The following is a 14502-nucleotide window of genomic DNA, read 5'->3' on the forward strand; positions in this document are numbered from 1 at the left end:
GAGACAGGGTCTCAGTTAATTTGGAAAATTTATTTTGCCAAGGTTGAGGATACGCACCCATGACACAGCCTCAGGTGGTCCTCACGACATGTGCCCCAGGTGGTCAGAGCACGGTTTGGTTTTATACATTTCAGGGAGACATGGAGACAGCAATCAACATATGTGGAATGAATATTGGTTTGGTCTGGAAAAAGGTGGGACAACTCGAAGCAGGCAGGGAGTCTTCCAGGTCATAGGTAGATAAGAGACAAATGGGTGCTTTTTTTTTTTTTTTTTTTTTTTCTGAGATGGCGTCTCACTTCGTTGCCCAGGCTGGAGTGCAGTGGCACAATCTCGGCTCACTGCAACCTCCACCCCCCAAGTTCAAGTGACTCTCCTGCCTCAGCTTCCCAAGTAGCTGGAGTTACAGGCGCCCACCACTACGCCCAGCTAATTTTTGTGTTTTTGGTGGAGTGGGGTCTCACCACGTTGGCCATAGCTGGGCTGATCTTGAACTCGCAACCACAAGTGATCGCCCACTCAGCCTCCCAAAGTGCTGAGATGACTGGCGTGAGCCACTGTGTCCAGCCAGGTGCATTCTTTTGAGTTTCTGATTGTCGTCTCCAAAGGAGGCAAGCAGATATGCATTTATCTCAGTGAGCAGAGGGGCAAAATAGAATGAGTAGCAAGTTTGTCCTAAGCAGTTCCCAGCTTGACTCTTCCCTTTAGCTTAGTGATTTTGGGACCTCAATGTTTCCGGAGTTGGGTCTCCTCCTGCTGTTGAATTTGTGATCTCACTGACTTCAAGAATGGAGCCACAGCCCTTCGCAGTGAATGTTACAGCTCTTAAAGATGGTGTGGACCCAAAGAGTGAGCAGTAGCAAGGTTTATTGGAAAGAGCAAAAGGACAAAGCTTCCACAGCATGGAAGATGACCTCAGCAGGTTGCCACTGCTGGCTGGGGGTTGGGGGGGGTGGTGGCCAGCTTTTATTCCCTTATTTGCCCTCTCCCATGTTTCCCTTTATGTCCTATGAGAGTGCCCTTTTTTCAATCCTCCCGGCAATTGGACATTTCTAGGATCCTGCTGACTGGTGCATTTTACAGAGTGCTGACTGGTGTGTTTTACAGAGCACTGATTGGTGCATTTTACAGAGCACTGATTGGTGCATTTCACAGTCCTCTTGCTAGCTACAGAGTGCTGACTGGTGCATTTTACAAGCCTAGCTACAGAGTGCTGATTGGTGCGTTTTACAGTCTTCTTGTAAGACAGAAAAGTTCTCCAAGTCCTCACTCCACCCAGGAAGTCCAGCTGACTTCACCTCTCACCAAGATTTTTCTTTCACATAATAAAGACAAACAAATTTCTATTTTGTTTAAATTACTGTTATTTCAGGTCTCTGTGGCTGGCAACAGAACTCAACCAAAGCACTATAGTAGGGTCTGGGGTTAATGGGATGAAAAAAAAGAAGAAAAAAAACATGTTCTATGCCCTTGTGAAGTTTAGCAGAGTGAAGGGAATTTTCCTTTAATTTATTGAAGTGTGCTCTTCCTGAAGCATAAATCAATAGATACATAGTTGTCAAAATGAGGTAAGCTCAAGAAAGTAGCAAGTTTCATTCTAAAAAAGAGGCTATGGGAGGACCTAAACTAGACCAAGAGGCAAGAAGAGTAAACTCTCTTATCTGCTTACTAAAATTCCGTGAATGTTGTGGAATGGAGAAAAAACTATCCTTGTGCAATCTGACAGAATTCCCAGAAAATAAAAATCTGTCATTAATAAAAATCTGTCATTTTTCCATTGAGCAATGATACACTATTTCAAAAGAACCTTAAGCCAGTTTTAGTCCAATTTTCTTTAGTTCAGTAAAAAATGCGTTCTTATTCAGCACATGCATCCCACCAAGTAAGATGTGTTATAACTAATGTAACACATTTTTATTGCCTGCAGAAAGTAATAAGTTACATTTTTAAAGGAGCACGTCTTAAAAATAGTTTCCCTCATAAGTATTTCATAATGATTCATTTAGCATGAAATTAATATTAAAGAACTGCTAACAATAAGCACTTAAAAATTCAAATTGAAAAGGAAATTATGCACATTTGTGATTTCATTAATTCTGGCAACCGTTTAGTCAAAAATAAGTAAATTTCATCCCATTCTTGTGTCTGTTTCAGATTGACTCTTTAATTGTCTAATATTTTCCAAGCCTAGTTTCATTATTTTATGTATAATATTAATGTGCTAAATTAAGGTTTTAGTACACCCAAGTCATACAATAAAATAAGTGTTACACGATAAAGGAACAACCTTCAAACATAATATCAACATGCATATATATTTACTTGCATACCTTAAAATCCATGATCTATAAGGACAAGTGGAAGAAATTAACATTTAATAAGCACCTACTATGTGTCAGGCATTGTGTCAGGCACTTTATGCTTATTATCTCATTTGATTTTGTTTCTCTGACATAATTTCACCACATGTAAGTGTAATAAAAGTGTCACTGTCATGTTGCACATGTCAATAAAGTCAATCAATGTATTAGAAGAAATCTGTTTACCAGGCCAGGCTTGGTGGCTCACGCCTGTAATCCCAACACTTTGGGAGGCTGAGGAGGGCGGATCACCTGAGGTCAGGAGTTTGAGACCAGCCTGGCCAACATGGTGAAACCCCATCTCTGCTAAAAATACAAAAATTAGCCGGGCATGGTGGCAGGCGCCTGTAATACCAGCTACTCGGGGGGCTGAGGCAGGGGAATTGCTTGAACCCGGGAGGCGGAGGTTGCAGTGAGCCAAGATCACACCACTGCACTCCAGCGTGGGGGACAAGAGTGAGACTCCATCTCAAGAAAAAAAAAAAAAAGAAAAAGAAGAAGAAGAAGAAATCTGTTTACTAAAAATTTCAGGACAGCAAGTGACAGAATAGCTTTAATAGGAAACAACTTCCTTGGGCTGGGTGTGGTGGCTCACACCTGTAATGCCAGCACTTTGGGAGGCCAGGGCAGGCAGATAATGAAGTCAGGAGTTCCAGACCAGCCTGGCCAATGTGGTGAAACCCGTCTCTACTAAAAATACAAAAATTAGCTGGGCATGTTGGTGCATGCCTTTAATCCTAGCTACTCAGGAGGCTGAGGCAGGAGAATTGCTTGAACCCGGGAGGCAGAGGTTGCAGTGAGCTGAGATCACACCACTGCACTCCAGCCTGGGCGACAGAGTGAGACTCCGTCTAAAAAAAACAAACAAACCAAAAAAACTTCCTTTTGTTTATATTGGAAACTCGAAACTTAGAAGTATTTTCATGATTCCTGCCTCTGTATCTTTGCCATCTGTGTTAGTTCCCTATTGCTACTGTAACAAATCACCCATCTCATTATGGGGTTGGTTTGTTACCAACCCCATTATGTTGTAATTTAGTCTTTAAAACAACATAAATTTATTATTTTATACTTCTAGAGGTTAGAAGTCTCAGGTCAGTTTCAGTGGACTGAAATCAAAGTGTCAGCTGGGGTTTGTTCTTCGTGGAGGTCCTAGGCAAGAATCTGTTTCCTCACCTTTCTTAGTTCTGGCGGCTGCCTGCATTCCTTGGCCCTGGCCCCATCCTCCGGTGTCTCCCTCTCTGACCACACTGCTTCTCCCTCGTGAATGTATTGGGCCCTCCCAGAAATTCCAGGATAGTCTCTCCATCTCAAGATCCTTAACTCCATCACATCTATGATGTCTCTTTTACCATGTAAGGTAACAAATTCACCAACTCCAGGGACTACGACATGGATAACTTTGGGGGACTATTATTCAGCTTACCACATCCCATTTATTTATTTAAATACATTTTCATGACTCTATTTTCACATAATGATGCATAATGCTCTGCATATTGTTTCCATAGTATTGAAGGTAATTTATTTCATATGACTTTTAGGAAATCTACTTTCTTCAAAGGCTCTCTGTTTCTTATAGTGTTTAATGACAGATTCCACTAATATTTGCAGATCAATTTATTTCTTTGAACAGATTTGTATCAAATAACTATTACCTGCTTAACTATCAAAGTTGGTACTGAGCAGAAATAACTACACTGTTTATCAGCACTAATTAACCCACTAAGATTAAGTAAACAGGATATTTCCCAAACATAGGGCACTTCTACAAATCACAAGATTCAGCTATGGGATAGTATCCGAAGTCATCCCGGCTTTACTTCACAGCTCCTTTAGATGGCCTGGATTTCTTTTTTCTCATTTACAAACACATGCCTTTGAATTGCTCCCTGGCTATTTCCTATCCAAATATCTTAGCTCCCAACAAAGCTATGCTCATCTCAAGAGCTGAACCCATGTCCTCTTCTTTTATATCTATCAAGGGCCTAGCAAAATACTGGACCAGAGAGAGTAAGCAGACACCCTGCAGTTTGCATCTGGCCAACGGACTTGTTTTGTTTAGCTTGAAGAGTGTTTGAGAAAAAAGTTAATTGAAAACATTTAGAAATCAGAGAATTTCACATAAAATCCTTTGATTTCACTTATCTTAAAAAATTGGCTAATATGGGCACCCTGTGCCAGCATTTCTGCCTGGTAACCATGAGCTAGAGTTCTGTGGCAGTGCCCCCTGCAGGCAGGCAGAGGCTCTCCAGCTTCACGGTCTTCACCCAGCCCTAGTCTGGCCCCTGTAAGTATTTGAGTTTGAGACCCCTATGCTAGACACCCTTTAGAAATTCTCCTTAGCGATATCCTAACATTATCACCTCATTTTTCAAATGTGGAAACTGCTTGCTAAACCCAAATTTGGCCCAGGAACTGTTTGAGGGCATTTTTACTACGTATTTTTAATGTATAAATTATCCTCTAAGACGTTGCACATCAAAGTATAGTCTACAGACCAGCAGCATTGGCATTAATCGGGAGTTTGTTAAAAGCTCTCCTGAGCCAGAATCTGCATTTTAGCAACATTCTCAGGTGATTTGGATATACATGAAAATTTGAGAAGTACTGCTATAGATGAAGCTCATAGCTAACTACCTTTCACCTGCCCCTCCACATACCACTAAGACCAAGCCTACTTCATTTATATTGATGGCAGCAGCGGGCCATCTGGAGCCACCACTGCCATCACACTGGCTGGAACAGGGAGATGCGACAGGGGCTGCATGCTCCGTGGAGCTGGTGACAGCCAGGGACAAGCAGGAGCCCCACCCTTCTGAGTTGGGGCAGGAGCTCCCCAGGTGCCCCTGCAGCTACCCAGGTCACGGCTGCAGACCCAGGCATTCCTGTGCTCTCAGGGACTGGAGCAGGCAGGATGCCCACCCTCCAGGGCACAGCTGCAGCCACCCAAACCCCAGCTGCAGACCCGGCCTTCCACTCCAGGGAGCAAGGAACCAGGCATCCCTGCACTCTTGGGAGTCTGGGAAGGCCCTGTCCTTGCAGGCTTGGAAGGGCCTGCTCCCGCTGTGTGGCTTCTCCCTGCTGTCGGCGCCCACTCCAATCTGGGAGCAAAGTAGAGGCCAAGCCCAGGCACTGTTGCACCCCAGCCAGGTGTGCACACACTTGGGACAGTATTGACATGCCAGCCCCCTGCCACCTCAGCCCCCACCAGGCTTTGGGTGCCAACAAGCATAGGAAGGAAGTTGAGGTAGGGCTGAGGGCAGCTTGGTGCTGGCCTGCAGGTGCCCCTTGGCACCTACAGCCTAGGCACCATGAACAGCAGCAGGAAGCAGACAGGCTTCCCTGCAAAAGGGGGTGGGTCCCTGATGAGGCCCCACCTTCAGGCCAGGAAGGGCCTGAAGGTTGGGGACCGGGCTGCCAGTCCCATGGACCAGAGTGGGAATTTGTGGTGCCTTTTCTGGGCCACCCATGGCCACCCATGGACCAACAAGGGTGTACTTCTTCCCCTCTGAGGCCCATAAAAGCCCCAGGCTCAGCCAGAGCTGAGCAGATGTCAGGACAACCAGTGGTAGAGGAAAGCTATCCACTCCATGGCCTTCTCTCTGCTGAGAGCAGCAGACATTGGGACAACCAGCTGCAAAGAGGTGCCACCCACTCTAGGGCCTCCTCTCTGCTGAGAGCCACGCAGAGAACAGGATGACCAGCTGCAGAGAGGTGCTACCCTCTCTGCTGATAACTGAACACTTGTTGGGATGACTTGCCTAGCAGAGAGGAGCTACTCTCTGTACTAGGAGCTGAACACTCATCAGGACCCCTTGGCTGTGAAAGGAGCTGCCCCTGCAGGTTTTCTCTGAGCTGTTCTAGCACTCAATAAAGCTCCTCTTCGTCTTGGTCACCCTCCACTTGTCTGTATACCTCATTCTTCCTGGTCACAGGACAAGAACTTGGGACCCACCAAATGGCAAGACTAAAAGAGCTGTAACACAAACAGGACTGAGACATGCCCCTTCTTCACCACATTGTGGGGGAAGAGAAGGAACAAAGGGTCGCTGTGGCCCTTCCAGGATCCCAGACCTAGGAGCTTCCCAAGCCAAGGCTGTGACTCCCTCTTTGGGGCCCTGCGGTCCCTGTTGTCTCCAAGCTTCCAGGCGCCAACATGTTCCCCAGTGCCAGTCTGGCTGCAGCCTTGCAGAGAACCAGCACCCATGCTGGCACCTGGAGCTGACCAACCAGCTATAGCAGCTGGCATGTCTGTGTGCGGTGGCAAGATCCCACGTTCACTTACACACCCCTCACCCTTCCACACCTGACTCACCCTTGGCAGGCATGGCATCCAGGCCAGTAGCGTGAGCTGAGCACAGCCTGCCAGGCTGAGTGGGCAAAACGAGCCCAGCAGGCCCAAGCAAAACTCAAGCAAAGGTGCCACAGGCCACAGAGGCTTCTGGCCAGAAAAACGACACCCCGAAGAGCCCATAACAATTTCACATATCATGGAAATAGCATTTTGAAAATTATTAACATGATTTCTCTTTTGCCTTTCCAAATCTCAGAGGCATTCTTTAAAATGAGTGGAAGGAGATTTCGATTACAAAAGAATACCCAGCGAAAAAAATGAGGTAACTTCTCCAGGTTCAGGACAAGAAAATGCAGCTGAATGTATTTATCATCTTCTTTTTTGGTGAGGGAGGGGTAGTTATAAACAATAGAAATCTATTTCTCACAGTTCTGTATGCTAGGAAGTCCAAGACCAAGGCAACAGCAGGTTCATTGCATCTGTCAAGGGCCCTGCATCCTCATAGATGGTTGTCTTCTCACTCTAACCTCACATGGTGGAAGGGGCAAGGGCTCTCTTTTAGGCCTGTTTCATTAAGGTCACTAATCCCATTAATGAGGGCTCTGCTCTCATGACCTAATTGCCTCCCAAGGGCTTCACCCCCTAATACCATCACCTCGCAGGTAAAGATTTTAACACACGAAGTTTGTGAGGACTTAAACATTCAGACCATAGCAACTCGTGGGTTGCAAAACCAGATCTTGAACCACCTTGTAACTCTAAGGCTACTGGTCGTTTTAATGCTCCAAACCGTGGCAAACAAATAAATTTAGTTTTTTGGGGTTTTTTTTTTTTAACTTTTTTTAAGAGACAAGGTCTCTTAAATCCCAGCACTTTGGGAGGCCGAGGCGGGTGGATCATGAGGTCAGGAGATCCAGTCCATCCTGGCAAACACAGTGAAACTCCGTCTCTACTAAAAATACAAAAAATTAGCCAGGCGCGGTGGCCGGCGCCTGTAGTCCCAGCTACTCGGGAGGCTGAGGCAGGAGAATGGTGTGAACCTGGGAGGCGGAGCTTGCAGTCAGCGGAGATCGCGCCATTGCACTTCAGCCTGGGCGACAGAGTGAGACTCCGTCTCAAAAAAATAAATAAATAAATTTAAAAAATAAAAAATAAAAGAGATAAGGTCTCACTCTGGTTGCCCAGGTCAGAGTGCAGTGGTGAAATCATACCTCACTGCAGCCTCGACCTCCTGGGCTCAAGCAATCCTCCCACTTTGGCCTGTCGAAGTGTAGGGATTACAGGTGTGAGGCACTTCGCCCAGCCTCTTTTTAAAATTTTTAAATGCATTTTTTAATTGACAAATAGAAGTTGTGCCTATTTATCGTGTATAACATATTGCTTTGAAATATGTATACATGGCCGGGCACAGTGGCTCACGCCTGTAATCCCAGCACTTTGGGAGGCCGAGGCAGGCGGATCACGAGAGCAGGAGATCGAGACCATCCTGGCTAACACGGTGAAACGCTGTCTGTACTAAAAATACAAAAAATTAGCCGGGCGTGGTGGCGGGCGCCTGTAGTCCCAGCTACACGAGAGGCTGAGGCAGGAGAACGGCGTGAACCCGGGAGGCGGAGCTTGCAGTGAGCCGAGATCGCGCCACTGCACTCCAGCCTGGGCGACAGAGCGAGACTCCGTCTCAAAAAAAAAAGAAAAAAAATCTGTCTCTGACAAAAAAGATAAACAACTCAATTTTAAAATGTGCAAAGGGCATAAATAGACATTTCTACAAAGATATACAAATGGACAATGACCACATGAAAAGATTCTCAACATCACTAATCATTATGGAAATGCATATCAAAACTGTAATGAGGTCAGGTGAGGAGGCTCACACCTATAATCCCAGTACTTGGGGAGGTCGAAGTGGAAGGATTGCTGGAGCCCAGGAGGCTGAGGCTGCAGTGAGCAGTATTTGTGCCACTACACTCCAGCCTGGGTGACAGAGTGAGACCCTGTCTCAAAAAAAAAGAAAAAAAAAAAAAAAAGCAGAGGAAGAAAAGAAAAAGAAAAACCCACAGTAAGATACCACTTCACACCTATTAGAATGGCTATAACCAAAATAACAGTATTGGTAAAAATGTGGAGAAATCAGAACCTCATACATTGCTGGTAGGAATATAAAGTTGTTCAGATGCTGTGAAAAGCAGTCTGGCAATTCCTCTAAAAGCTAAACATAGAGTTACCATATGACCCAGCAGTTTCACTCCTAGGTATACACTCAAAATAATTAGACATAGGGACTCAAACATTAAGGTTTATTGCATCATTATTCACATTAGCCAAAAGATGGCAACAACCTTTGTTTCTACTCACAGGTGAATAGATAAATTAAATATGGTATATACATACAATGGAATATAATTCAACCATATGTAAAGGAAAAATAAAATCCTAAGCTCCCCAACCAACTGAACTGATCCCCTCTTGGCCAAAGGCACCCCAGAGAAATCTTAAAAACCGAGTTCCCTGCCATGAAGGGATGGGAGGTTGGCCATGCCTCGTTATACACCCCCGCCTTGTGCAATTTAGACACAACTGACCAGCATTCACGTGAAAATGGAGCTCATAAGACTGACAGAATGGACTCTCTGTGGTATAAGGAACCAAATTATAAGCAGGATCTAAGGCCATGCCAGGTGAGGGTTAAATCACTCACCCCTACACTTAAAAAATAAACTATATTCTAACGGCCATGAATTCTTTTCTTTTTCTCTAGCAGTTAAACAAGCACTGGCCTTGAAATAAGCAATATTAAAACAATTTGCAGCTCATCCACAGCTGACAGCCAGGCAATGACCGCCAAAGTCCCAGTCCCACACCCACTCTCCCATTCCACCAGCCAGAACCACAGCTGTGACTGGACAAGAGACCAATTTTAGTAACTTTCTCCTGATAAGAAGACCACCAGCCATGGCTTGGTTCTGGCCGGTTTACAGAGGCTGCACACGTGAGTGCCATCCTGTCCCTGCTTCACTTTCTGATATATAGGGACTAATTGTAATGCATTTGAACATTAAGTCTCCACCCCAAAATGAACACAGGTCACATGTAACATGCATGTTTGCTTATCACATACAGGTGTGACTCCCCTCATGAATATTCATAGCTCATCTTGTGGCCTGTTGAATATGTATGTTTAACCAACCAGTTCAGCATAATGTTCCTGCCCCAGCCCCTCCTTCTTCAAAGTGCCTGCTAACAATCTCAGCCAGAGGGCACCCTTCCCAGCCTGTCAGAATGACCACTTCGCACACTGTAAGCCTTTATAAGAAAGTCTCCTTCCCAAATTTTAGGATATGTGATTTTAGGCCAGGTGCAGTGGCTCAAGCCTGTAATCCCAGCACTTTGGGAGGCTGGGGTGGGAGGATCACTTGAGGTCAGGAGTTTGAGACCAGCCTGACCAACATGGTGAAACCCCATCTCTACTAAAAATATAAAAATTCGCTGGGCATGGTGGAGCATGCCTGTAATCCCAGCTACTTGGGAGGCTGAGGCAAGAGAATGGCTTGAACCCGGAAGGTGGGGGTTGCAGTGAGCCAAGATCATGCCACTGCACTCCAGCCTGGGTGACAGAGTGAGACTCTGTCTCAAATAATAATAATAAGAAGAAGAAGAAGAAATGATTTTAAGTTGACATATCAAGAAGAACAAAATTCTGATACATGCTACATGGATGAATTGTGAAAACATTATAAGTGAAATGAGCCAGATACAAAAATGACAAATTTTTGACTCCTTTTATATGAAACATCTAGAATAGGCAAGCTCATAGAGACAGGAAGTAGATTAGTGGTGACCGGGTGCTGGGGGGAAGGAGGTAACTAGGGAAATTTCTATTTGGGGAGTTGAAAATTTTTAGAAATAGGTAGTGGTGATGGTTGTACAACACTGTGAATCTAATAATGCTACCAAATTGCACACTTAAAATGGTTAAAATGACTAATTTTATGTTACAGGTATTTTGCTACAATCTGGGGTTCCCCACAGCAAACTGGTGAATCGAAAGTTGATGGTCGGAGTGAGTCGACAGAAAATGGACCTGTAACTGCTGGGCAGGAAGATGGAACGGATACATAGAACAGGCCCTGTGTCTACAGCCAGTGGAGGCCAACGTGATGACAAGTCAGAGAGGGTGACCCCAGACTGGGACCAAACTGACAGACCGAGCACGGGTCGGGGACATCCAGGCAGCCTGCAAACAGTCAGGGCAGGGCCCCTCCCCAGAGGCCAAGAAGTGGAAGGTGCCTCCGCGGAGACCCAGCCCTTCTGCGTCACCACAGGACCTGTGTGAGGCACACTCTACTCCCCTTCTCTCAAGATACCGCCTCGGACAGAGAGCAAGGGGGATGAAGGATAACTGAGAAAGGGAATATTTGTATCTATGAGAAGACTGAGCAATAACTAAAGACACTGATGAGATTAAGGGAACATGCTACAATCTTTAAACCAGATAGAACTAATAGTTAATTTTTTAACTCCCTTTCCACCCCTGTGCCATTGAACCAATGGGTGGAGGCTCATGACGAAGATCAGATTAAACTGAGTCAAAATAAAGAAGATGCATTAATTTGGTGGTATGTCCTCACTCCTGTTAAACATTTTACACGAATTGTGTCAGATGCCCCCTCTTTTAGCTTCTGTGTGCTTTTGTTCTGAGGCTCAGGCCCTGCTGTGACTTGCTTTGGAAAACTGGGCTCCTGGAGCCTGCAGGCTGCAGACTCTGAAATTGTTCTGTTGCTTTGTTTCATCCCCTTCCCATCCTTTTCCCTCTATCTCCTGACTGATTTCCTTAGGGAGCCCCTCCTCAATAAATGCCTTGCACACAAAAGCTCATCTCAAGGTCCATTTGTGGGTAACCCAGCTAAGATACCCATTTTCTCTGCATTCACAAGCTATACTATGACATAAACCTTTCAATCTTGCCATATCTGCTATGTGACTGAGCCCTGAAAGTTATTTGTGTGTGTGGCCCCTATTCTAGGCATTCTGCCCTGTTTGTGGGAAGCACTGAGCCAGCTCTGTGGTGGGAGCACCTTGGGGAGGGACATTTTGAGCAAGGTCAGAAGGACCAGTTAATGGGCAGGATCACAGAGGTGGGCCCCTACTTCCTTCCTCCTCGTTTTAGACTCCCCATCCCCAAACCCCAATTCCACTATTATATGTTGGACTTCAGTCTGGTCCAGGAGCTTAATAACAAGGTAATCTCTGCAGATAATCCCTGTGGTTTAGAAATAACTCTCACATACACTGTCTCACTTTATCTCATGTTTTAATCTCTGTGGTGAGGGCAATACTCATTCCCATTGACAGACTATGAAACAGATGCTTACAGAGTAGAAATGATCTGCTCAGTGTTGCACAGTTCAAAAGTAGGAGTCTGTTAATTCCAAATAAAACAAAACCAAAAAGCCCACAAACTGTGTTTCCTCTGCTCTCCTATGACAACAATCAACACAGGATACTTCCGTGATCAGTCGTGTGGGGTTGCCGCTACACATCAAGCTAGTCATCAGTTCTGCAGAAGACACCAGCTGGGTGTCCTATAACTCAATTCTGATATTATCTTCCTGGAGATAGATAGCCTCAGATCCCACAGGTTGAGAACTCTGTCCCGTTAAGACCCCCCTTCTACTCCGGAACTTCGGACCAGTTCCAAATTGGGGTTCCCATGGCTCCCTTTCTGGGCTTGATTAATTTGTGAGAGCAGCTCACAAAACTCAAGGAAACATGTTACCAGTTTTTTATTTGTTTGTGTTTTTGAGATGGGGTCTCACTCTATCTCCCAGGCTGGAGTGCAGTGGCATGATCTCCGCTCACTGCAGCCTCCGTCTCCCAGGTTCAAGCGATCCTCCCACCTCAGCCTCCTGAGTAGCTGGGATTACAGGCATGTACCACCACAACCAGGCTTTTTTTTTTATTTTTTATTTTTTGTATTTTTAGTATAGGCGGTGTTTTACCATTTTGACCACGCTGGTCTCGAACTCCTGACCTCAAGTGATCCACCTGCTTTGGCCTCCCAAAGTGCTGGGATCATAAGTGTGAGCCACCATGCCCCGCCGTCACCAGTTTTTTTTTTTTTCTTTTTTAACAAAGGATATTACAAAAGATGCAGATGAAGGATGCTTAGGGCAAGGTATGTGGAAAGAGACAAAGAGCTTCTATGCCCTCCCCAAGTGCACCAACCTCCAAGAACCTCCATGTGTTCAGCTATCAGGAGGCTCTCCAAACCCTGTCATACTGGGTTTTTATGGAAGCTTCGTTATGTAACCATGATTGATTACATCATTGGCCACTGGTGATTGACTCAACTTTGTGGGAGGTGTCCCTCTCCCCTCCCCAGAAGTCAGGGGGTGGTGCTGAAAGTCCCAATCCTACCCCTGCCTTGGTCTTTCTGGTGACCAGACCCATCTTGTAGTTATCCAGGGGCTGCCAGCCTCCAGTCAATCATTAGCATACAAAAAGTCAGCACTTTGGAGATTCTAAGAATTTTAGGAGCTGTGTGCCAGGAAATAGGGTTGAAGACCAAACATATATTTCACAATATCACAGTTTCTCAGTCCAGTATTTTTTCATCTTAAACTGATGACAGTGATAAGAATGAGCTGATGGTGATTTAGGCTGGACCTCGGGTCCAGAGAGTTCCGTTTCCTGCTTCTAGTGCAAACCATTGTTGGTCCTTTCAGGCTCCATCTTGTTTTTATTTATTCATCAATTCCCTTTTATCCTCCATTCTCCTCTTGCATTCCCCTGATCTCCCATAAGAAGCTATGCTATTCTAATATATTTAATATGCATCCTACTTTTTTTTTTTTTTAAGACAGAGTCTTGCTCTGTCGCCCAGGCTGGAGTGCAGTGGCACCATCTCAGCTCACTGCAAACTCCGCCTCCCAGGTTCAGGTGATTCTCCTGCCTCAGCCTCCTGAGTAGCTGGGATTACAGGCATGTACCACCAAGCCAGGCTAAATTTTGTATTTTCTTTTTCTTTTTTTTTTTTGAGACAGAGTCTTGCTCTGTCGCCCAGGCTGGAGTGCAGTGGCGCTATCTCGGCTTACTGCAAGCTCTGCCTCCCGGGTTCATGCCATTCTCCTGCCTCAGCCTCCTGAGTAGCTGGGACTACAGGCGCGTGCCACCATGCCTGGCTAATTTTTTGTATTTTTTAGTAGAGATGGGGTTTTACCATGTTAGCCAGGATGGTCTCGATCTCCTGACCTCGTGATCCACCAGCCTCGGCCTCCCAAAGTGCTGGGATTATAGGCGTGAGCGACTGCGCCCGGCCTAAATTTTGTATTTTCAGTAGAGACGGGGTTTCACCATGTTGGTCAGGCTGATCTGGAACTCCTAACCTTGTGATCCGCCCGCCTCAGCCTCCCAAAGTGCTGGGATTACAGGTGTGAGCCATCGCGCCCGGCCGCATCCTTTCTTTATATGTGTTCTTGTAAAATGCACATTGTTGTTGCGTGTGTTTTTTATTCACATAAATGATGTAAGTCACAGAAATCATCTGATTCTTAATTTTATTTTCTTTTTCTTCGTCTTCTTCTTCTTTTTTTTTTTTTTGTGAGACAAGGTCTTGCTCTGTCACCAGGGCTGGAGTGCAGTGGCACCATCCCAGCTCACTGAAGCAGGGCTCAAGTGATTCTTCCACCTCAGCCACTGAAGTAGCTGGGACTACAGGCACGTGCCAACAAGCCTGGATAATTTTTTTATTTTTAGTAGAGATGAGGCTTCACTATGTTGCCCAGGCTGCTAAATTTTCATTTGGTATCATGTCTTTAAAATCCATCCACGTTTTTAACCTACATG

At 45.4% G+C, this 14502-nt stretch overlaps 2 annotated features.

Moving 5' to 3' along the window:
- Nucleotides 9601-10102: an enhancer, noted in NCBI's record as "OCT4 hESC enhancer chr9:98103789-98104290 (GRCh37/hg19 assembly coordinates)". NCBI's record gives its function as "activates a minimal SCP1, AML or CMV promoter by ChIP-STARR-seq in naive H9 embryonic stem cells {active_cell/tissue: H9 hESC(naive)}" and the evidence as "EXISTENCE:reporter gene assay evidence [ECO:0000049][PMID:30033119]".
- Nucleotides 10389-10890: an enhancer, noted in NCBI's record as "H3K4me1 hESC enhancer chr9:98104577-98105078 (GRCh37/hg19 assembly coordinates)". NCBI's record gives its function as "activates a minimal SCP1, AML or CMV promoter by ChIP-STARR-seq in primed H9 embryonic stem cells {active_cell/tissue: H9 hESC(primed)}" and the evidence as "EXISTENCE:reporter gene assay evidence [ECO:0000049][PMID:30033119]".

The sequence above is a fragment of the Homo sapiens genome, chromosome 9, assembly GCF_000001405.40.
Source record: "Homo sapiens chromosome 9, GRCh38.p14 Primary Assembly".
Lineage (NCBI taxonomy): Eukaryota > Metazoa > Chordata > Mammalia > Primates > Hominidae > Homo > Homo sapiens.